The 25,303-nt window shown below is 35.1% G+C and overlaps 1 long non-coding RNA gene across 3 annotated transcripts in view, besides 1 other annotated feature; it reads left to right on the top strand.

The window, feature by feature from the left end:
* Nucleotides 1-25,303, top strand: part of LOC105379082 (uncharacterized) — a 135,090-nt gene that overhangs the window by 65,007 nt on the left and 44,780 nt on the right. The window lies entirely within an intron of this gene.
* Nucleotides 16,885-18,005: an enhancer, noted in NCBI's record as "VISTA enhancer hs1109". NCBI's record gives its function as "enhancer in: limb[10/11]" and the evidence as "EXISTENCE:transgenic organism evidence [ECO:0001131][PMID:17130149]".

Here is a 25,303-nt window from a genome sequence, read left to right as displayed (position 1 = left end):
CTTACCATGGTCTTTGATGTCCTAGATAATTTTGGCCTATGCCTACTTTCCTGTACTCATTCCTCTCCATGCTAGAGTTTACTCAGTATGCTCCAGCCACACTGGGTTATTCTGTGTTTCACAAAACACTGCGTTTTTCATAGCCTTAAAAATTTGTACTTGCTTTTCTCTGTAGAAGCACTTTTGTACTGTATCATGGCTAATTATTGTACTATCCATATCTCAGCAGAAATGTCACCTCCACTGAGAAGTCATTCCTTATCTCCTGTCTAGAATAGCCACCACCACCATCCCCTGTCACTTTCTACTCTCACTAGAATTATCTTCTTCAAAGCTCATTACTATCTATTTATTTATTTTTATCTCTTCCACAAGATAGCAAGCTCCATGAGAGTAGAGACTTCATTCATTTTGTTCAATGCTGGTGTCCCAGTATCTAGAATAGATTCAGAGCTAGTAAGCACTCAACAAATAGAAAATATGTACTTGTTAAGTGAATAAATGAATGTCTATTTTATATTATTTGGATAGCATACTTAATGCTCAATAGTTCCATTTTAAGGTATTAGTCAATTTTAAAAGAGTTTGGCTTCCTGTCTTGAGATTTTTCTTAAAAAATATATTCCCCAAATAGAAGCAAACACAGGCAGTTTTTACTTATCTCTATGGCATCAGATAATGAGATCGTATCCTAATATTTCCTGATTATGGTCTAATGACATAGTGGGGTAAAAATGGAGGCTCCAGGAAATGTGTTTACCACCACAGTGAAGAATTCTGTACTGCATGTATGCCTTATACTGGCTAGTTTTTTTTAATGCTATCTCATTTATTCACAAATACAACCATAAGTATTTACTTATTCTTACCATTTATATTTTACAGACAGAGAAACCCAACTCTTAAAGTAAAAGATAATTAACTTATCCATTATAACAGAGAAGTGTATGAATTACCTGGGGCAGATTTGGGGGTCAATGAGACCTGAGTTTTACCTAGCAAATTTTCACTATAACCTCATAGGTTTTGAGAGTTGAAATAATAAAAATATTAATTGGATATTGCTCTCCATATTTAAAGATAAGTTGTCTTTAGTCAGTCTTCTATTTTTATGTCTTTGTCTTTTTCTCTTTTTTATTCTCTTTTACTCATTCACTCAAAATATAAAATGATTCCCAGTAAAGGCCAATAGAAAAATTTTACCTGATAACATGACCAGATTATTCAGGGATTGACTTTTTTTTTTTTTTTTCTAAGAAGAACCAATATAGGACTACAAAGATCAGGATGACTGTGTTGATTAGAGACCTAGAATGAAGGAAGTGATGTTTCTTATTCATTATTATTTTACACAAAATGTTTCTTCTGTTTCACTTATGGCCTACTGCATCCATGCAACCATGCCACTGATATATGCAACTGTCCACAAACTACATTGAGTAAGAGATGGTGAATAGCTGTAGATCTCTAAGGGTAGTCATCAGCCTCACCTTCCTTTGCAAAATACTTTTGAAATCTTTGTGCTGAGTACCATTTTAAAAACTAGGCAATTTTCTCATGGATAGAAAGAATCAATATCATTAAAATGGCCATACTTCCCAAAGCAATTTACAGATTTAATGCTATTGCTATCAAACTACCAATGACATTCTTCACATAATTAGGAAAAAACTATTCTAAAATTCATATGGAACTAAAAAAGACCCTGAATAGCCAAAGCAATCCCTAACCAAAAAGAACAAGCGTCACATTACCTGATTTCAAACTATACTACAAGGCTACAGTAACCAAAACAGCATGGTGCTGGTACAAAAACAGACACATAGACCAATGGAAGAGACTAGAGAGCCCAGAGATAAAGCCATATACCTACAACCATCTGATCTTTGACAAAGTCAACAATAACAAGCAATTGGAAAGGACTTCCTATTCAATAAATGGTGCTCAGATAATTGGCCAGCCATATGCAGAAGATTGAAACAGGACTCCTTCCTTACACCATATAGAGATTTAAATGTAAAGATTTAAAGATTTAAATATAAAGCCTACAACCATTTAAAGATTTAAATGTTAAGTCTAAAACTATAAAAACCCTTGAAGAAAACCTAGGAAATACCATTCTGGACATAGGTCCTGGCAAAGATTTCATAATGAAAATGCCAAAAGCAATTGCAAGAAAAACAAAAATAGCCAAATGGGACCTAATTAAACTAAAGAGCTTCTGCACAGCAAAAGACACTATCAGAGTAAATAGACAACCTACAGAATGGGAGAAAATATTTCCAAACTATGCATCCAACAAAGATCTAATATCTAGAATCTGTTAAAAAATTAAATAAACTGACAAACAATAAAACAAACAACCCCAAAAAGTGGGAAAAGGACATCAAGAAACACTTCTCAAAAGCATATGAAAAAATGCTTAACTCACTAATCATTAGAGAAATGCAAATCTAAACCACAATGAAATACCATCCCACACAAGTCATAATGGCTATTATTAAAAAGTCAAAAGATAACAGATGTTGGTGAGGTTTCAGACAAAAGGGAACACTTATACCCTGTTGGTGGGAGTGTAAGTTAGTACAGCCACCATGGAAAGCAATTTGGTGATTTCTCCAAGAACTTAAAATAGAACTACCATTTGCACCAGCGACCCCATTATTGGATATATACCCAAGGGAATATAAATCATTCTACCATACAGACACATGCACATGTATGCTAAACGCATCATTATTCACAACAGCAAAGACATGGAATCAACCTAGATGTCCACCAATAGTAGACTGCATAATGAAAATGTGGTACATATACACCATGGAATACAACACAGCCATAAAACAGAATGAGATCATGTCCTTTGCAGCAATATGGATGGAGCTGGAAACCATTATCTTAAGCAAACTAACACAGGAACAGAAAATCAAATACCGCAAACTACCATCAGAGAATGCTATCAACAACTCTATGCAAATAAACTACAAAAGCTAGAAGAAATGGATAAATTCCTAGACACATACACCCTCCCAAGACTAAACCAGGAAGAAATCGAGTCTGTGAATAGACAAATAACAAGTTCTTAAATTGAGGCAGTAATTAATAGCCTACCAACCAAAAATAGCCCAGGATCAGATGGATTCACTGATGAATTCTATTATAAGTACAAAGAGGAGCTGGTACCGTTTCTTCCGAAACTTTTCCAAACAATTGAAAAGGAGGGAATATTCCCTAACTCATTTTATGAGGCTAGCATCATCCTGATACCAAAACCTGGCAGAGACACAACAAAAAAGAAAACTTCAGGCTAATTTCCCTGATGAACATCAATGCGAAAATCCTCTGTAAAATACTAGCAAACTGAATCCAGCAGTGCATCAAAAAGCTTACTCACTACTATCAAGTCGGCTTCATCCCTGGGATGCAAGGCTGGTTCAAAATACACAGATCCATAAACATCCTCCATCACATAAACAGAACCAATGACAAAAACCACATGATTATCTCAATATATGCAGAAAAGGCCTTCGATAAAATCAACATTCCTTCATGTTAAAAACTCTCAATAAACTAGGTATTGATGGAGCATATCTCAAAATTATAAGAGCTATCTATGACAGACCCACAGCTAATATCATACGGAATGGGCAAAAGCTGGAAGCATTCCCTTTGAAAACCAGCATAAGACAAGGATGTCCTCTCTCACCACTTCTATTCAACATGGTTTTGGAAGTTCTGGCCAGGGCAATCAGGCAAGAGAAAGAAATAAAGGGCATTCAAATGGGAAGAGAGAAAGTCAAATGGTCCCTGTTTGCAGATGATGATTCTATATTTAGAAAACCCCATTGTCTCAGCCCAAAATCTCCTTAAGCTGATAAGCAACTTCAGCAAAATCTCAGGATACAAAGTCAATGTGCAAAATCACAAGCATTCCTATACACCAACAATAGACAAAGCAAGAGCCAAATCATAAATGAACTCCCATTCACAATCACTACAAAGAGAATAAAATACCTAGGAATACAGACAACAAGGGATGTGAAGGACCTCTTCAAGGAGAACTACAAACCACTGCTCAAGGAAATAGGAGAGGACACAAACAAATGGAAAAACATTACATCCTCATTGACAGAAAGAATTAATATCATGAAAATGGCCATATTGCTTAAAGTAATTTATAGATTCAATGATATTCCCATCAAACTACCATTGACATTCTTCACAGAATTAGAAAAAAACTACTTTAAAGTTCATGTGGAACCAAAAAAGAGCCTGTATAGCCAAGACAATCCTAAGCAAAAAACAAAGCTGGAGGCATTACACTACCTGACTTTAAACTATGCTACAGGGCTACAGGAACCAAAACAGCATGGCACTGGTCGCAAAACGGACATATAGACCAAATGGAACAGAACAGAGAACTCAGAAATAAGAACACACATCTACAGCCATCTGATCTTCAACAATCCTGACAAAAACAAGCAATGGAGGAAGGATTCCCTATTTAATAAATGGTATTGAGAAAACTGGCTAGCCATATGCAGAAAACTGAAACTGGGCCCCTTCCTTACACCTTATACAAAAACTAGCTCAGGATGGATTGAAGACTTAAATGTAAAACCCAAAACCATAAAAATGCTAGAAGAAAACCTAGGCAATACCATTCAGGAACTAGGCATGGGCAAAGACTTCATAAGAAAACACCAAAAGCAATTGCAACAAAGGCCAAAATTGACAAATGGAATCTAATTTAACTAAAGAGCTTCTGTACAGCAAAAGACACTATCATAAGAGTGAACAGGCAACCTACAGAATGAGAGAAAACTTTTGCAATCTATCCTCTGACAAAGGTCTAATATCCAGAATATACAAGGAACTCAAATTTACAAGAAACAAACAACCCCATTAGAAAGTGGGCAGAGGATATGAACAGACACTTCTAAAAAGAAGACATTTATGCAGCCAAGAAACATATGAAAAAAGCTCAACATCATTGATAATTAGAGCAATGCAAGTCATAACCACAATGAGATACCATCTCATACCAGTCTGAATGGCAATTATTACAAAGTCAAGAAACAATAGGTGATGGCGAGGCTGTGAAGAAATAGGAATGCTTTTACACCATTGGTGGGAATGTAAATTAGTTCAACCATTGTGGAAGACTGTGATGATTCCTCAAAGACCTAGAACCAGAAATACCATTTGACCCAGCAATCGCATTACTGGGTATATACCAAAAGGAATATATATCATTTTACTATAAAGACACATGCACGTGTATATTTATTGCAGCACTATTTACAATAGTAAAGATATGGAACCAACTCAAATGCCCATCAGTGATAGACTGGATAAGGAAAATGTGATACATATACACCATGGAATACTGTGCATTCATAAAAAGGAATGAGATCATGTCCTTTGCAGGGACATGGTTGAAGCTGGAAGCCATTATCCTGACGAAACTAACACAAGAACAGAAAACCAAACACCACATGTATTTACTTATAAGTGGGAGTTGAAGAATGAGAACACATGGACACAGGGAAGACACACTGGGGCCAACTGGGGGCTGGGGGGTGAGGGGAGGGAGAGCATTAGGACAAATAGCTAATGCACGTGGGGCTTAAAATTTAGACAACAGGTTGATAGGTGCAGCAAACCTCCATGGCACACGTATACCTATGTACTTGTATCCCAGAATTTGAAGTAAAATGAAGTAAAATAAAACAAACAAACAAACTCTTAGCGTTGTCAAATACAAGGAAAGTCTAAGAAACTGCCAGAGCCAGGGGAAGCCTAAGAATAAATGACAATTAATGGAATGTGGAATATTGAAAAACAAAAAGAACTTCAGGAAAAAAACAAAACAAAGACATCTGAATAAAGTGAGGACTTTAGTTAAAAAAAAGAAAAAGAAATCAAATACCACATCTACTCATTTTTAAGTGGGAGCTAAACATTGATTACACAGGGACTCAAAGAAGGGAACAATAGAAACCAGGGCTTACTTATGGGTAGAAGGTGGGAAGAAGGTGAGGATTGGTAAACTACCTATCAGATACCATGCTTATTACCTGGGTGATGAAATAATCTGTACACCAAACACCCATGGCATGTAGTTTACCTATATAACAAACCTGCACATGTACCCCTGAAATTTTAATAAAAGTCTGAAAGGAAAAAACAAAAACTAGGCAACTTTTTATTTATATTTTTTTCCAAATTAGAAAAAAATTGAGCAATGTTTTTCTTCTCTCTATTCCAGAAAAGATGGAAATACCATTTACTCAAATATATATGCTTAATGTACATTTGTTCCTAAATGACACTATTCTCTTGTTTTAAAAGCCAATCCTTGTACATATCCTTAAATGGAGGCATGTGTTAGCAAAAGACCAATGGAAAAAATCAGGTGCATATACTTAAGTGAAAAAACTATGTCAGAATACATTTCATACTGATAGAAGGTAATAGAGATGAGCAAAGGAAAGCCAAGCACCACATGGAGCCCATTTGTTCCTTCAAAGTAAGATGCAGATTTGGACCTTCAGATAAAAATGTACAAGCTGCCAACTTCAAAGGAAAGAATCAAAAAATAAAAAGCAACAATTGAGAATTATATCTTGCATACATAAACACTTAGTGTGCACGTGTGTTGGTACCTCACAATCATAGAGTATATCTGATGTCAAACCATATTATCCTAATAGCTGAATTAGAAGATAACTGTTAAAAACTCTGAATTCATAAGGCTTGGCATTCATAAAAAAATTCATAAGGTTCTGCAGAAATCCTGGCATATACAACATTTAACATTATTTACATTTAATTAGGAAAAATCAAATCCTACAAAGTCAGTTTATTAGATTTATCCAAGGCCAGTTGTTTATGTAAGTACTGAATCATTAACATGCAGGTTCTTCCATAATTATCAGGCTGTCAGATAAGAAACCTGCTGCTTAGGACAGATAAAGAAACTTGGAGATAGTCACAGATATAAACCCCAATTCACACGACTAGACCATTTGGAAATGTCTTACATGAAAATGTGAATTACTTTACAGAGGCTAACTACAGGGACTCAAATGGAGCAGTGAAAACCAAATTAATGTTGCTTTGTTTTCTTCCTCTTTTTTATATGGAGAATTAAGTAAGAAAATCAAATAGTGAAATTATTTATTACATGGAGCATTGTTTTTATTTAAAGAGTTATTGCAATGCTGAAAAATGTTTTTTTAACATAGATATTTAGATGAAAATGGACCCAAATTATATTATACTTCCATGGATGATAATGATGGCTTAAAATGTTGCCACCCTGTTATTTTGAGTACTATTCCTAATATAAGTTTTGGAATGATTTAGAAATAGGCATATCTGCAGGTTTATTGAATTATTTAATGAGAAGTTAATTATGATGAATCTGTTTTCTATAATGTCTCATTTATGTAAATTCCAAACAATCATACTTTCAATGACACCATTTTCAGACCTGTGTGTTGATTGTCATACAGCTTCTTCCCAATCTCCTTTCTTTATTACTGATGGACTTCAACCAACTTTCACATCTAATGCTTTCTTCCATACCATTTCAGTCAAACCCAGCTCAGCCCCCTGGGTTCCTCAGACTCTCTTGTCAAGCAGGCCCTCCACTATGTCTTTCTTCTTTGCCTGGTGACAAAAATCATGCCACTAGAACAAAATCTTCTTTGTTGCTTCACCTTTTCCTATATATCTCCACTTTATTTAGTGTTAAACTCCCTATGGTCCAAGTCATTGAAACCTTAATTCTATTCTCTTTTACAGAGGATGCAGTCAAACTTTGACCTCTCCAGGGCAACTTGAGCAATATTTTAACAGTTCCTTGAGAGGTTCTAGGGAAGAAAAAGATTATATATCTTAAATAAAATATATCATATACCTCTCTCTCTTAGGGTTTCACAGTGTTAATTAATTAAAAGTGCTGAGAGTACAGAGAAAAAGAAACCTGATTTTCTTTGTTAACCTAATGTTTTCTAATATATTAGAAAATAAAAATTATTTTCATATGATACCTAAGAAAAATTTGGAGAAATGGATTTTAAAATTATTGCTGTTATTGTTTTACACCGTGAATGTTCTCTTTAATAATGCCTTTAGGAAATATATCATCTTTTATTTTTTTCCTATGCAGTCCCATCATCATCCATAATTTTCACATATATTCAAGTTGCTCATGTAGTAATTAAGCCTCACCATATCCCACTCTCTTTAATTCAATTTTTATTTTCATTCTACATCAACTTTCTCAACAGCATGACGACACCCTTTACTTCTCTACCTGAAAATAATACTTTCATTTCCCAATCTCCTTATCTTCAATTCTGATTCCTTTGCCTGACATACCTCCACTCATAATATACAACTGCCAGCACCTTATGTACTTCAGAAACCCTGGGTTTGCAATTCTTCTTAGCTAGCCCAATGCATTCAGTCTTTCTCACTATGCTGCCAGAGGTGAGCTCTACCATCAGTAGTTTTAGGTCTCCCCATCCTCTCTCCTAGGGTGCTATTGTTCCCTTAACTTTTCATGACTAACCTTCAACTCTTCTTTCTTCTGCCACTCTATATTTTTAACTTGCTCCGGCCTCAAATTAATTCTAGAATAATTTAAAGAAACTTCTAGATATGGTCATTTCAACATGACTGCACCAGGTATTACTGGTATAGTAACTTCACAGCATTCAGCAAGATATTAGACATTTGTTATTCTAGTGTTGGCTTTGGCTTGCCTGAATAATGGTTTTGGAGGAGAGATTTCCAACTCAAAGATACATCCATCAGAATTCATGAATTAGAGATACTCCTAGATTAATGAAAGTATCCCTATATCTTCTGGAGATGATTTAAATTACCAGTTTCTCTCAGTTTTCTGAACTTTAATTTGAGAACCAGATTATATCCCTCTTTGGCTAGAATGAGGAAAGAGAAAAAAAGAGAATAAATTTTAGCATTTTTGAAGGATTGACAGAAACTCAAGACTTAATGAAGATCTGCAGAAATGGATTCGGTAATCAGAGATCAATATATGCACATTAGTCTGAAGGGTAGAAATAATATGTCTCAGAAATAAAAACAATCAAAGGTAACTTCCCCTAATCTACAATTCTGGCAGCTATTTTTGATATTAAGTGTCCTACCGACATGTTACAGAAAAAAATGTCTCCTGTTCCTGGTTATCTAGTAGTTAGGATTAAAAAACAATTACCTGCTGGATGTTTTTAGGCTCTCTGACAGGAAGTGCCAGTTTTTGCATACTGTTTCATCCTCTTTCTAACTCTCTGATATTTTCTTCCCATTTACCCCCATAGCATTTCTCCAAGATTCAGGTCTCCTTGTTCGACTCTTCTCACGCTTTCTTTTAGTGATTTTCTTTAGTCTCATGGCTGCAGATAGTACGTTTATCATGATGATTCATAATGAACTGGCCTGGTCACCCCTTCCAGTTCTAGTCTGTGGTTTCCAGATCCAACTCCAGGCTCTAATTCTTACCTCAAGTTAAACAGATCAAAAGCAAGTTCATCTGACCCCAATTTGTCTTTCTTCACATTATACCTTTCTTCTCATTATCAATGCCATGGTCTTATTTTTGATTCTGATTATCTCGTATTTGTAGTATATCAATAACAGCCTAAATAATTACCCCACTCATTCTTTTTATTCTACTCTATCATTTATCACATTGTTTGATTTATCTATCTTAAACATCTCATACCACTTTCCCCCTTGTACATTTTCAAAGATATGGGACATAAAACTAAAGCCTTTAACCCTGCACTTGGGCCCTTTGCAATTTGGCTTTCTCCTAAGTTTTCAAATGTATAATCATTATTCTTTACCCATAGACTTCCTTTCAGCTAATTCCATCTAGTCACTCTCCTTCAACTATGCCTTGCTCATTGCTACCTTGCTATGCCTTTGCTCCTCACTGACCCTGTTCAATAGCCTAGTCCTACCTTTTCTTAAATTTTTAGCCCAAGCATCAACCACTTCATGAGCCTTCCATGACTTTTCCAGGCCACAGTGGACTCTCATTCTATGAATTCTAAAACATTTATGGCTTATACCATTTGTTCATCATTAAATATACAGGGCTTTTATGGATATTTGTGTTTTCCTTGTATGGATATTTGCATTTTACATATGTGTATATGGTACTTTAAGAATTAATTTGCATTCTCCAAAGCTTCTGCACATGTTAGATATAAAATAAATGTCAGTTAAACAGATGAATAATATTAAATGTCTGCAGATACCTAAATTGGGTCACAAAGGGACTTGTGCTAATTCATAGACAGGTAACATTTAGGACTCTTTTAGTATTAGTGATAGTTTAATAAATTATAAACATTTAAAAAATGATAATCCATGTACAGCATGGTAATTCTCAACCTATTTGAGACCAAACTGTAAGGTGACAGGGACTCCACCTTCCTCATCTCTTTTATATCTACCACCTGAAGTGTGAACACTCCAATGCTTAAGCGAAACAGTATTTTAAGTACTCCACACGTTACTTAAACTGAACAAAAAGAACTGCAATTTCACAAAGAAAAATGACCCTGCCATTTTGAACAAAAAATAATAATAAGCCTAGAACTTTATCAAAGATGTAAGATAAAAATGTACATTTTTGAAGGAATAGAATAATCTCGTTTAAAACATTGCCTAGGAAGATGAAAATCAATTCTGTTTACTATCAATCAAAAGCTTTTAAAATATAGGCATATTTTAATGCAGTTATCACTGTACTAGAGAAAGGTGATTTTTAAATAATTATACATATAAGGATGCTCATTACAGCACTGTTTATGATAGCCAGAAAAAGGAAACATCATAATATCTGGTGATAGAAAATGCATTACATGTTAAGGTATGTGTATACATTAGCACAAAATTGAAATATGATCATATGTCATATTAAAGTCATTCTACTCTGATTATGGATTATTTGTATAATTTAAAAAATCAACTCCATCTAACACTGAGACAAGGAAAAAATTATGTCATGATTTGGAGATAGCAGTTGATAAGTGTTTAAGGAAAAGAATTAATAATTTCTTTTCATTTTTATTTTAATATTGGCCTACATATAATATTTCAATTTATACTTTCTATTTATAAATCATTAAATACCTTATAAAATATACCTAATTTGCTGAACATCCATTAAGTTCTAAAGTAAGGTTAATATATAAAATACAATATAAATGTTTTTAATTGGAATTATATTTCTTCTTAGAGAATATAATGCAGGTGCACTACATTCCATTTAGGGATCAAGGGATTAAAGATTTAAATAATTTAATTGTATGTAACCCAGATAAATACATTATCAAGTCATAGTGGCAACACTGACTCTACCCAAAAAGATTACTTAAATAAATTTATTTAGGAGTAGGAATCATCCATTGATTAAAAAAAAAAAGCATCTTTTTTTGGTTTGATATTTCGTAAGTTGTACACACAAGTAAAATTGTTAATTATTATCATGATTATGGTAATAGTAGTAGCAGTATTTTGTACTTACTACAATGTAGCTAAATATCATCTTTCAATAGAAATATTCTCATTTTAAAAATTAATATTATTTATGATGATTTTAAAATTCATATTATTTATGATGTTTCCTGCTTTTGGCTATTATAAACAGTACTGTAATTAACATCCTTATATGTAAAATTATTAAAAGTCAACTATTTCCTTATTTTCTAGTAAGGTAATCACTGCATTAAAATGTACATGTATATCTACACACACACACATGCATAAATATATATATATATATATATATATATATATATATATATATATATATATATTTTAGTTTAATTTAGTTTTATTTTATTTTAAGTTCTGGGATACATGTGCATGACCTGCACATTTGTTACATAGGTAAACATGTGCTATGGTGGTCTGCTGCACCTATCAACCCATCACCTAGGTATTAAGCCTCACATGCATTTATTTATCCTGATACTCTCCCTCCGACTGTGCTCCCCCTATGCAGGCCCCAGTGTGTGTTGTTCCCCTCCCTGTGTCCATGTGTTCTCATTGTTTAGCTCTCACTTATAAGTGAGAACATGGGGTGTTTGGTTTTCTCTTCCTGCATTAATTTGCTGAGGATAATGGCCTCCAGCTCCATCCATGTCCTGCAAAGGATATGATCTCGTTCCTTTTTATGGCTGCATAGTATTCCATGGTATATATTTACCACATTTTCTTCATCCAGTCTATCACTGATGGGCATTTGAGTTGGTTCTATGTCTTTACTATTATTAATAGTGCTGCAGTGAAGATATGTGTGCATGTATCTTTATAATAGAATGATTTATATTCCTTTTGTATATACCTGATAATGGGATTGCTGGGTCAAATAGTATTTCTGGTTCCAGGTCTTTGAGGAATAGCCACACTCTTTCACAATGGTTGAACTAATTCACATTCCCACCAACAGTATAAAAGTGTTCCTATTTCTCCATAGCCTCACCAGCATCTGTTGTTTCTTGACTTTGTAATAATTGCCATTCTATTTATTTATTTATTTATTTATTTATTTATTTATTTATTTATTTTATTATACTTTAAGTTTTAGGGTACATGTGCTATTCTAACAAGCATGAGATGGTATCTCATTGTGGTTTTGATTTGCATTTCTCTAATGATCAGTAATGTTGAGCTTTTTTTCATGTGTTTGTTAGGCACATAAATGTCTTCTTTTGAGAAGTGTCTGTTCATGTCCTTTGCCCACTTTTTAATGGTTTTTTTTTCTTGTAAAAAAACCCATATTTTACAAGATTTTGATTGATAGTAAATAGAATTGATTTTCATCTTCCTAGGCAATGTTGTAATCAAGACTATTTGATACATTCAAAAATGTATGTTTTATCTAATATCATTATTTTTGACAATTATTTATTATTAACATTGATGATAAATAGTATTGTGTTAATATATTATTTATTATGATTAGTATATATTAATTTACAAATACCATTAATGTTATTTATAATACAATTAATTTTTTATAATGAAAAATATTTATATTATTTATGATGAACATATCTATATTACTTTCAGTTAAGTAACATAGATAACTATTGTCTTTACATAGTTATCAATACAACAGTTTTATAAATCAGAAAAATGGCACAGTCTTGTTAGTACTTAGGTTTATTGATTAGCAAATAAAAATATGTGCTAAGGCTTAAATTTCTTTTTTAACCAAATAATTTATTTTATTATTTTCGGTAGTCAAAATCTTAAGTACAATCGGTTGTAATTTGAGCAAATTAATGCTAAAAATGCTTTCAAGTACTTACTGCATCATCTTAGGTTCTCTATATGTTTATGTCTGATGAACAAAGGAAAAATGTGTTTTTTTAAGAACAGTTTTTTTGCAAAGTGTTGTTTCTGAATTGACTACATCAGAATCACACAGGTGTTTGTTTAAAAAAAGTTGTTGCTTCTTGAGCAACGTCCGAAGAATGGAAAAATAATCTGTATTGTAGGACTCAGATATCTGAATCTTTGACAAGCTTCCCAGATGACCCATGGTCCACAGTCAAGTCTGAGAATTAGTGCCCAAGAAGGTACTCTTACAGGGCACCCAATTAGGATCTCAGAAGCTGGTTGTAAAATGTAAAATAAATAAATGTGAATTTTAAGAATTTAGGAGAGTCTTGAGAAAATGTCTGTTTATAAATAAAAGAACTCACCAGAAGGAGGCTTCCAAGAATCTAATAACCCCAATGACTTCCTGCCTTTCTTTTTGTACCAGAAAATGGTAGAAGTAGAAAATAGCTTGTAGGCTCCCACATCAATACATTATCTAAGCACAATCTTTCATTGAAAGCCTTCATTGCCTCATGCAGAGAACTTTGCTACTACTATGCTCTGCCCTAAAGGTATAACAGAATATTATCAGTTTTAACCTGCAGGGCTGCCAACATTCCTGACTTTTCAGATCTCAAGGGATGGGAAAGAGTAAATGGATAACTTTAGATTACATTATAAAGCAATTATTGTTTTAACCTAAGAATTGTATTTCACTATCTTGGCTGTGAATTATAAAACAAACTCTTTTTAAAAGTAGTAGAAATTACTTCTACTGCTAAGTTACTTTTTCAATTATTTTCATCTTTTAGAATTATTTTATTAATACTCATGCTATAGTTTAATATAGAGTTACAGAACAGAAATTCTTTTTTTTTTTTCAAGAACCAAACAACGGCAGCAAAAGGGAGTGAAAGATTGGAGCTTACGGTAAGAAGACAAATACAGGTATACAGTTGACTAGGAAGGCTTAAGGGAACCCAAGCCAGTACTCTCTCCATCTTTTATTTTTGCACCTCCCTGGCCAATTACTTCTCTCCTTTTGCAGACTGGCTTTTTCTCCTTGTCCAGTTTTACATAGTGACAATTATAGTCAGTAACAGATTTGGAAAGTAACTGGTGGCTGTTTTCTTTTTCTCTCTGAATTAGACTATATTTTGTCATAAGTGATAGCCCCACACAAGGGGTAAATAACCGTTAAGGTGTTGGAGGTTTGGGAGAGGGACTCAGACTTGCCAATATTGGTTCTACTACCATCCTTGGATGTGTAATTAGGAGGGTACAAACAGCGAATGGAGTGAGGGATGGAGATGGAAAGTGAGGATCACACTGTATAAACATGATTGCAGGACATCCTGAGGTTTAGGAGAAAGGGGCAATGACAAAAGAAAAGGAATTGTTGTGAAGCCCCTATAACAGAGTTGATGTATTTATCAAGAAGCCTGATGACCAGAAAGCATAAAAAATCTAAAGTGGCTTGACCTGTGATGTATGAACAAGAGGCTTTTTACTTATTTATAGATTTTGTCTAAATTATACAAAGAGATCCTTAAAAGACAGCACAACATAACATTATTAATAGGAAACTTTTGTTTTGTCTGCTATAAGCCAGGTGCCTTATATACACTATTTTATTTGTTTCCTGCAACTGAATGACCATCCCCATTTTACAGATTAAAACATTTATGTTCAGGTGCTACATAAGCAATGAGAGATGAACCTAGGCATCTAAACCGGGTCTGCAGAGCTAAAAAGCCATGCTTACCCCACTACAAGATTTAGATTTTCTGAGTTTGAGACTGCATTCCAAACCAAGCTAACATTTCAATAATAAAAACCATTAGTCACTATACATATAAAATAAATGATCAGAAAATAGGGTACAAAATATGATGGAATCATTGTTTTCTTCGCCCCAAAAAACCCTCTACGTTTTAGAGAAAAACTTCTAAAAATAAGGTCCATATAACCATCTCCTCCCCTGCTCATTTACCTGGATCACTGATGTAGGGGAATATTGTTTATTTTGCGGAAGAAGAGATAAGGGAAATATTCTCCAACTTCTTTGAGGGATAAAGCTGGTATTTTGAGAAGTAGATTTGTTTGTTGCTTTGCAACATTCAATGGCCTAAAAGAGTGTAGTGTCCTGAAGTACTTTCTCTACTTGACTAACTTAGGTACTAGGAAAATTTGTCTTCATTTGTATCTGTACTCTGAGAGTGGGATGTGTTGGGTACCAATTTTCCAGGCTGCTATTTTCGGAACATATGGGCAAAGCTGAAATATATGAACATATGTATGTATGTTTGTGTACGTATATGAGCATGTATATTTGTATAAGCAACCACATTTTTATTCTCCCCCTCATCCTCCCTCCCTCTTCTACATTTGGAAGATATTTGAAATATGGAACATGTGTTTGGTGGGCAGGCAGTTGTATTATTTTATAATGATCCACAATCGTGTATGTGTATGTGTGTGTTTCCCTTAACAAATCTGCAAACAATTAATGTGTTCTGTAGCTAAAAATTATTCCTTAGGAATTATTCCCATTTTCTTTGTGAGAACACATTATATGTCCTTCCATGAGGGCAGAGATCATATGTTACAAACTTGTTAAGAAGATTTGAGTTTAAATTATTGCATATGCACCAGTCGAATAAGAATTTGCCAGAATTTAAAAACGTACAAATGTTAATAATTATGATAACTGGCAGTATTATTTTAAGACATTCAGTGTAAAAGCACAGACTGTAGCAATGGGTTTTGTGCATGTGTGAATAAGCATGTGTCTGTGAGGTATCATCTATGAGTATAAGAGTAAAGAGAGTCTGTGATGTGAGTTGTTTCATAGGCAGACATTTTTTGTTTGACAAATTTTGGTGGAGTTAATAATTTTCTTAACCTTTTAAATGCTCAGTTATATTTATAATATGTAATATTTGACAGTGTATCCAAATATCAATAGGTTATAAAATTACACAATTTACCCTTCTCTAGTAATGGGTGCGTTCTTCAAAATGATCCATAGTTTACTATGCCTTCCTTTTCCTATTTCGTTTCTCGGACCTTTGCTTTTAAAATAAATACATTAAAATGGCTAAAAATATGGTTTATTTTTGTAATTTTAAGTCTGGATGGTTCATTTAAAGTCTCCATATCTCAAAAAAAAGTCAAATTTCACCATTAACCGTTTTAGAAAATAGAAATCTATTATAAAAAAATTACATTAGAAAGAACAAAATTTTACTCCACAACTACTTATTAGAAGCTGTTGATATTATGTGTTCATTTAAACATTTTATGGCATTGCAGGTATCTTATATGATGTAAACATTTTGCCCTCTGAACTAGGGCTCTTCATGTTTGAAAATACTGAGGGAATAGATTTCTGGCTTAATCTCTGACTTAATAATGTTCACAGTACCTCACTTTTCTATATTCAGAATATAGCTGTTTTCCAAATATGAACTACGACATACAATGCAGTATGTATAGTGTATATGCATGCTTCAAAGAATAATAGCTATTTGTTTCTCATGTATGTTGGAAAACCAAGGCGAAGAAATAAAAATAAACACGCAGTGTAGTCCTTCACTCAGCACATCTCTGCATGCTGAAGGTGTTTAGCTGAAGCTATTTTACTCAAAGATCCCTTTCCCCTTCAATAAGTCAACATATTCTTGATCAGGATTTATCCAATCTCAATTATTGTTTTATCCTTTGAAAAAATTAATCTGCATCTTTTAAAAACAGCAATCAAAACAAGATTAGTATATTTTTAATGCAGAAGTAGCATACATGTCAGCCTGTTACCCAATTTCTATGGTTCCTATTACAGTTCTCTTATTACAGGCTCACAAGCACTGTTTTCCTAAAAGCACCTTTCAAGTCCCCTGCCTTTCACTGAAATGTGGCTGCTACTGTGTACTTATTTTAAAAATGGCTTGACAGAATTGCTAATGTTCTCATTCCTTCAGGATATTTCCTAATACTTGTAGCCTTTTCATGTTTCTAATTAGGCCAGTAATGGTCCCTGAAGTTAAACCAATTAAAATTATTTACTGTGACACACAGTGTGGAGATAATTATCTGATATCTGAATCCAACTTCTGCTTACTTCGCAACATTACTTAATAGAAAACAGAGAAACGGATGCCCATGCTTTCATTTTACTTGTCTACCAAATGTGTTTGCCCTATAGCAAACTGTTTAAATAAAGCATTAAAATCTTTGTGGTGCTAATCAAAATGTTTAAAATCCACTCACACTCCCTTTATAGTTCTGAAAAGCATATAAAAACTCCTACACATTACCTTTTACATTACAGTTGCTGACCAATGTAGTATTATAGCCACATTATATACAGATAATGCAGCTTTTGCATTTTCTACCAGGCTTACTTTTCTCTATTCCTCCACTCGTTTCATCTAATTATTATTTTTTCCTTTTTAGCATTTCTCTTTTTCTTTGCTTTGCTTTTTTTCTTTGTTTTGTTTCTCCATGCTTTGTTTCAGATTATGTGATTCACTACAAGGGGCACAAAATGAATGCACTTTGAAATATATGTTTCATATGAACAGGAGGTAATTCTGTATAGTCTAAACAGTTTTAAGCATCAAACAAGTGAGATTTATAATCATTTTATTCTTTGCATAGGGTTGGGGGTTTTGGAAATTTGAAGGTTTACAAAGAAGATTTTAATCGACAGCAGAAGTTTTAGCAAAGTTTAGTTCATATTTAATGTAAAGCAAAATCCTGCTAGGAATAAAAAACAGAGAGAGCAAGTAAATCACGTCATAAAGCAATGCTTTTCATTAAAAGTTGGCTGCCATCATGTAGAGAATTTGGATAAATGTAAAGACTGAGCCTGTAAGTTAGGCTTGCATATGCTGTAGTTAAATGCCAAAGTGCAGTCTCATAAAGAATTATAGCTTAGACACTTTGAGAACATTTAGCCCATAATCCCAATGCAAATTATTCTAAGAGAAAATTGAGTTTCATGCCAAAATGCTACCTTGAGACTGGCAATGTACAGTTGGACATTTAGCCTGATCTTAGGATGGATTCCTTTACTGTTTCCTGCTTTTTTTCCCCAAATATTCATGAACATCAGTACAGATACGGTACACACCATTTTCCAAGTCACCATGTGCCTAACTGGAGGCGCCTGGCAGTTTATAATGACTTTAATTTGGAGAAACAAACTGCAACAGGGAGAATTTGGGCATGCCATTCAATTCAGAACCATAGCCCAAGAGCTTGGTTTTCAGGAATTTCCAGTCCAGGCTTTGGATCCTGTTTGAGAATTCCTGCTTATGAGGGATAATCTGAGATGCCCAGTAACTTTCCCCTGCAGATAGTAAGGGAAATGTTTGCCTGTATAGTGATATGCTTGAAAAGGCATGAGGTCATTGGAGTGCCAGGAAAAGTACTAGAGACTGTTTAGAGAGACCTTGAGACCACTCAGATGTGGGATGCAATTCTTTGTAGAAGCTCTCCTTCCTCTGGCACTGCATTTAATCTTAGCAGAACTAATGTGTTCTTGGTGGTTTATGATTTAAAAACTCTGTGCTTCTTTTTCTCCTATACCACGTATTTTGCACATACTTTCATTAATACAACAAGCTTATTGCATTCTAATTATTTGTCTATGTTGGTGATATGGTTTGGATTTGTGTCCCCACCCAAATCTTATGTGGAATTGGAGGAGGGGCCTAGTGGGAGGTGACTGAAGCATGGGGGCCAATTTCCCCCTTGCCGTTTTTGTTATAGTGAGTGAGTTCTCACAAGATCTGATGGTTCAAAAGTGTGTGGCACTTTCCCCTTGGCTCGCTCTTTCTCCTGTTCCATCATGATAATACGTGCTTGGTTCCTTTACACCTTCATGATTGTAAGTTTCCGGAGGCCTCTCAGTCATGCTTCCTGTTAAGCCTGCAGAACTGTGAGTCAATTAAACCTTTTTTCTTCATAAATTATCCAGTCTCAGGTAGTTCTTTATAGCAGTGTGAGAACTGACTAATACAGTTGGTAAATAGATCTTAAATTTAACTACAGTCAAAAGCATTTCTTCAAAATTAGTGATTTTTGGAATAGATGAGGGTATGGATAATTAATTTTAAAAACACTTAAAAGATCAGCAAAAGATAGATACTCCAACTATTTTTACTAATCTAAACTTTGCTATCTTTTAAATTTTTATGTATGCACAATATTTTATGTTAATTTATTTGATACCATATGTACTGTATCAATATTATCTTTGTTTTCTCAACTATTTCAGGATTGTGGTCCAAGTAGCCATGGCTTAGAAAGCATTTAACACAGAGAAGTTTACATAATAAATATTCAGTTGTTAAATTTTATATATAATTCAAGAGCTATGGATTTTGTGCTGTGAATACAAGTGCTTAGGGATAAATGGGATGCAGGAATAAATAAAATGACTGAGTCCCTCTCCTGAGGATTAAAGTCTGAGAGAAAGAGAAGAGACAATAAGCATATTAATAAATAAGATTATATCAGGCACAAATAAATGCAAAGAAAAAGATAAAGCAGGATAGTGAAGTAGTTACCAATGATAGGAGTTGATATTTCATTCACTATGGCAGTTGGTGCCAAACTATAAGAGAAAGTCATGTGCCAAGGTCTGGAGAACAGAATGAACTTGGATTGTCTGGGCAGTATCACTGAAGGGAAAAGAAAAAGAGGCAAGAAAAAGGATTTGAGTTTAGAGATATAGGCAATATCCAGATCATAAAGTATTTATGGATTATGCTAAGGCCTTGAAATCTTATATTGATGTTAGGCTGCAATTGGAAGCCACTAGAGGATTTTAAGCATGGAAGTGAAACAATCTGAATTTACTTTTAGAGAAAACGTGAAGCTCCTAAAGGTTAAGTAATACACAGCCTTTCAATGTTGAGAAAAAGGTTGAAAATTACTGAGTGAAAAGTTTTAATGTTTGAAAAAGAAAATGACTATAATAGATTACTTAATAATTTAAAAAAGCAACTACATCTGTGTACAAATAACTCTATTAGTTTGCTAGTGCTGCCATAATACACTAGGTGTCTTAAATAACAGAAAGTTATTGTCGTACAATTCTGAAGGTTAGAAGTCTGAAATCAGGGTGTTGGCAGGGTTGGTTCTGCTATGGACTGAAAAATTGTATCCACCCAAAAGGCGTAAGTTGAAGCCATAACCCCTCATGTGATGGTATTGGAGGTGGGACTTTGGGAGGTAATTAGGTTTAGATGAGATTGCAAGGGTGAAACCCCCATGGTAGAATTGGTGTCTTTATGAGAAATGTCAGAGACCAGACAGAGCTTGCTCTCTCTCCACCATAGTAGGACACAGTGAAAAGGTGCCTGTCTGTAAGACAGGAAGAGGGCACTCGCCAAAACCTAATCATACTGGAACCCTGATCTTGAACTTCTCCAAAACTGTGAGGATTGCATTTCTATATGGTATTTTGTTATAGCAGCCAGAGCAGACTAAAACTGATTCCTTCTGAGAGCTATAAGGGAAGAATCTGTTCCAGGCCTCTCCCCTTGGCTTGTAGAAGGCCGTCTTTATTTTCACATGGACTTCTCTTTGTAAACATGCCTAGATCCAAATTTCCCCTTTTTTGTAGGACAACAGCCCTATTGGAATTGAGGCTCACTCCACTTCAGTATGACCTCATCTTAACTGATCACATTTGCAGCAAATTTATTTCCAAATAAGGTCCTATACTCAGAGGTACTGAAGATTAATACTCCATCCTGTGAATTTGGGGGGGATGCAATTCAATTCATAACAATAACTGTTTTATTAAACAAGCTGAAATTATTAAAGTACAAGTAGTAAAAAAAAAAAAAAACAATTCTATGTTAACAACCCTTTAAAGTTACTCTGCAGAATATTTCTTCCTTACTGCATAGATGAAATCTTGATCAGATTCTCTAATCTGGCCTTTTTTTTTTTTCTAGTTCATGTGATTTTTTTCATCTCAAGAATAGCATTATTTTAAAAATTAAAACTTCTACCTCGTGGCATAATTGCATAATTTCTTATATGTGCAATGTAAAATTTCTTCCTTCTTACCTAATTATCTCTTTAGCTGAGGAAGCCTAGAGGATTTTACTCTGATTATACTCTCCTAGGAGAAGGAGGGTATAGTCAGACATTCTGACTTTCCTAGCTCCAACTCCTACTCTCCCCGTTCGGTTGCCTGATTTCTGATCCCTTCCGAAAGGTGGAGAGAGTGATTTAGGGGAAAGGGTCTTATTAGAGACCACAACTGTGTACGAGGCTAGGGAGATGTTTAAAACTGGCTTTGATATTTTGGGCTACTTTTGTAGGTTAAAAAACAAAGTTGGCCGGGCGTGGTGGCTCATGCCTGTAATCCCAGCACTTTGGGAGGTCGAGGCGGGCGGATCACGAGGTCAGGAGATCGAGACCATCCTGGCTAACACGGTGAAACCCCGTCTCTACTAAAAAATACAAAAAAATAGCCGGGCGTGGTGGCGGGCGCCTGTCTTCCCAGCTACGTGGGAGGCTGAGGCAGGAGAATGGCGTGAACCCGGGAGGCGAAGCTTGCAGTGAGCCGAGATCGTGCCACTGTACTCTAGCCTGGGCGACAGAGCGAGACTCCATCTCAAAAAGCAAACAAACAAACAAAAAACAAAGTTATTGGAACTTCCCACTGCAACACCATGGTAAAGGGAAATGGGGTGATTTACTCTCTTAGGACACTGGCACTCAGGTCCTATGTGCTTTCTATCCAGACCATTTTTGTCAAGGCCATTTCCCCTTTACATGGCTGTCTTGAGCAGAGTCCTATCTCAGATGGCTCTAGGCTTTTGTGTTAGTTCATTCTTGTGTTGTTGTAAAGGAATACCTGAGGTTCGGTAATTTATAATGAAAAGAGCTTTTATATTGGCTCATAGTTCTGCAGGCTTCACGTGAAGCATAGTGCTGGCATCTGTTCCTGGTGAGGGCCTCAGGAAGCTTACACTCATGGCAGAAGGCAGAGGGGAAGACAAGGCATCACATGGCAAGAGCAGGAGCAAGAGAGATGGGGGAGGAGCCAGGCTTTTTTAAAAAAAACAACTGATTTGCATGTGAAGGAAAAGAGCAAGAAGTGCCTTATTACCATGGGGAGGGAACCAAGTCCTTCATGGGGGATCTGCCCAACCCCTGTAACCAAAACACCTCTCACTAGCTCCCACTTCCAACATTGGAAGTTTCAATATGAGATTTGGAGGAAATAAATATCCAACCCGTAGCAGCTTTCGCTTGTAGTCAACTTTCAAGGCTCTTGAACCACATGCATTTTCTCTGCCATGTGACACTAGGACAGTTTGCTTCCGGTGAATCTCACCATATGTCAGCTAAGAGCCATGTTGCCTTTTTTGTTTTGATTTCCTAAATGAGAGTCAGAGACTAGACTACCATATCCCTAATTCTAGTGCTCACAACACCAGTTATCTGAGTAACCCCCTTAAAGCCTTCTCTGTGGTCTTTAATTTAGAAAAATGCAGCCTCTACAAATTTCTCATGGGAAGGGCTTGGATTACTATTTAGAAGAGAGGAGGATGGGAAACTTTTACAACATTCTCAGATTTTGTTTTGGAAAAATGTTTCTCTTCCTGGTGCTGTTTGATTTCAACATTTTATTATTTGCTTACAAAGGTGTTGCATGAAGGGTCCCCTCATCACATTTAGGGAGCTCTTCTTTACAGGCCTGGCATGCAGACGAGATGACACCAATTCTTTTGTTGTGAAACTTCATGGTCTCACTTGAAATAAAGGAGTCCCATTTTGCCATGTGACATGTTCCCATGTTACTCATGTGACAGTGAAGTTCAGGTTATAGGAGGAAAGGAATCAGCTAGAGTCACACACAAAGTACTTTTGGTTCATGGAGGTCCTTCTGCCTGCATTTGAAGAAGTCACCAATAAGATGATTTTCTGGTGTATGTCTATCCGTAATTAATAGAAGCATCAGATTTGTTTTGATTCCCTCTAGAGATACATTTACCTCAAATATTCTGATAATACTCTTAAAATCAGGGGATCTTCTCTAGCACACAGGTGATATATTGCTCCAGATCTTCGTCCATGAGCTTTGGGAAGGCTTAAGGGGAATGCAGAATGTCTCTCAACATATTTTTGGTGCTCTGCTCACATGCCCTTTCCTGGCTGGCTCCCCACCCACTACTGGAGTGCTGGAGCTAATCACTTTCACCTGTGGTCCCTGGAGACTTGCCTTTGCCTCACCATAGCCAGCTCACTGGAGATGGCTGGGAAATTAAACTCTCTACCCAGGGAAAGCCAATAAATACTAGGGTAGAAAAGCCTGGCCTTTCTACTTCAGGACCCATAAGCTTGCTGTGTCATTATACTGGGCTCCTCTTGCTGTTGAAGCCATTGTTAGACTTTACCCAAGACCATAACTTGCTTCACTTCCCCTTTCCTTTCCCTGTTCCTTCTTCTTACTGAGAGATTTTTCCTGAAAACACATTTCTCCTGAATGGGGAGATTTTAACCTACTTATTCTGTTTATATAGTAGCTAAAATTTCTAGTTCTCTTTGGATTCAAATGTAATAATGTCTAATTTTCTAAGAATGTGTCTATTTCACCAAATTTAATGACAAATATTTTTATGATATTCTTCTATGCTATTAATCTCTACTGAACCTGCAATTATATTTCCTGTTTCACTCTGAAAATTATTTTTACCTATATTTATTCCCTTCATTACAGAGGTTTTTGTGTTTTATTCTCTTTTTCTAAGAAGTGGTTTTGGCTTTATTAATTAACTTTAATATTAGATATCTATTTCCTTAATATCTTTTCTTTATTATTTGTTTTCCTTTGCTTTTTTTGCATTTATTCTTACTTTTTCTAACTTGTTACCTGTTTTATTTTCACGATCATTTGTATTAACATAAATACTTAAGCAAATACATTTCCATATCTGAACTGGTTTTTATGCTTCCAACAAGTGTTAGGTATAATTTTCTTCTTTTTCACTTCTGAGTATTTTCTAGTTTTCATTATAATTTTCTTTGATACATAAGTTGTTTTTTTATTTCATTTCTAACATATTTTGAGTCATTGATTTCTTATGTAATATTTTAGTGGTCAGAGAATACGGTCTATACAGTATCAATTTTTTCGATTTTCTTTAGAACTGCTATTGGCCTAGTATATGATCAATTCCTATAAATCTTTCCTATACCTTGGGGGTGGAAGTGTATTCTCCAGTTGTTGCTCTTGCAAGAAGTTATTATATTTAGGTTCATTGATCTGTATGGTGTTGTTTCTTTTAGATCTGTTTGAGTGTTTGCCTGTTCAATCTATCACTGAGAGAGATATGTTAATATCCCTCTTTATCACGTTGGATTTAGCAGTTTTTTCCCAACAGTTTTATTGATTTTTGCTTTATGTATTTTGAATCTGAATTTTAGGTTAACCCTAGTTTAAGAATTATTGTACCATCCTGGTTAATTAAAAGTTTTGGGCCAGGCGCAGTGGCTCACTCCTGTAATCCCAGCACTTTGGGAGGCCGAGGCAGGCGGATCACGAGGTCAGGAGATCAAGACCATCCTGGCTAACACAGTGAAACCCCGTCTCCACTAAAAATACAAAATATTAGCCAGGCGTGGTGGTGGGCACCTGTAGTCCCAGCTACTCCGGATGCTGAGGTAGGAGAAAGGTGTGAACACGGGAGGTGAAGCTTGCAGTGAGCCGAGATCCCACCACTGCAGCCTGGGCAACAGAGCGAGACTCCGTCCCCCCCAAAAAAAAAGTCTTGACAGCGCATTATTGCTGTCCTTACCACCAATGCTTATTTTTTCCTCAGTTTGTTTTGGCCTTTGATTGATATACCAAAATCTCACAAATCACCACTAAACATACAGCTATCTTCAC

The sequence above is a fragment of the Homo sapiens genome, chromosome 5, assembly GCF_000001405.40.
Source record: "Homo sapiens chromosome 5, GRCh38.p14 Primary Assembly".
Lineage (NCBI taxonomy): Eukaryota > Metazoa > Chordata > Mammalia > Primates > Hominidae > Homo > Homo sapiens.
This window is presented reverse-complemented; position numbering and strand designations above follow the sequence as displayed.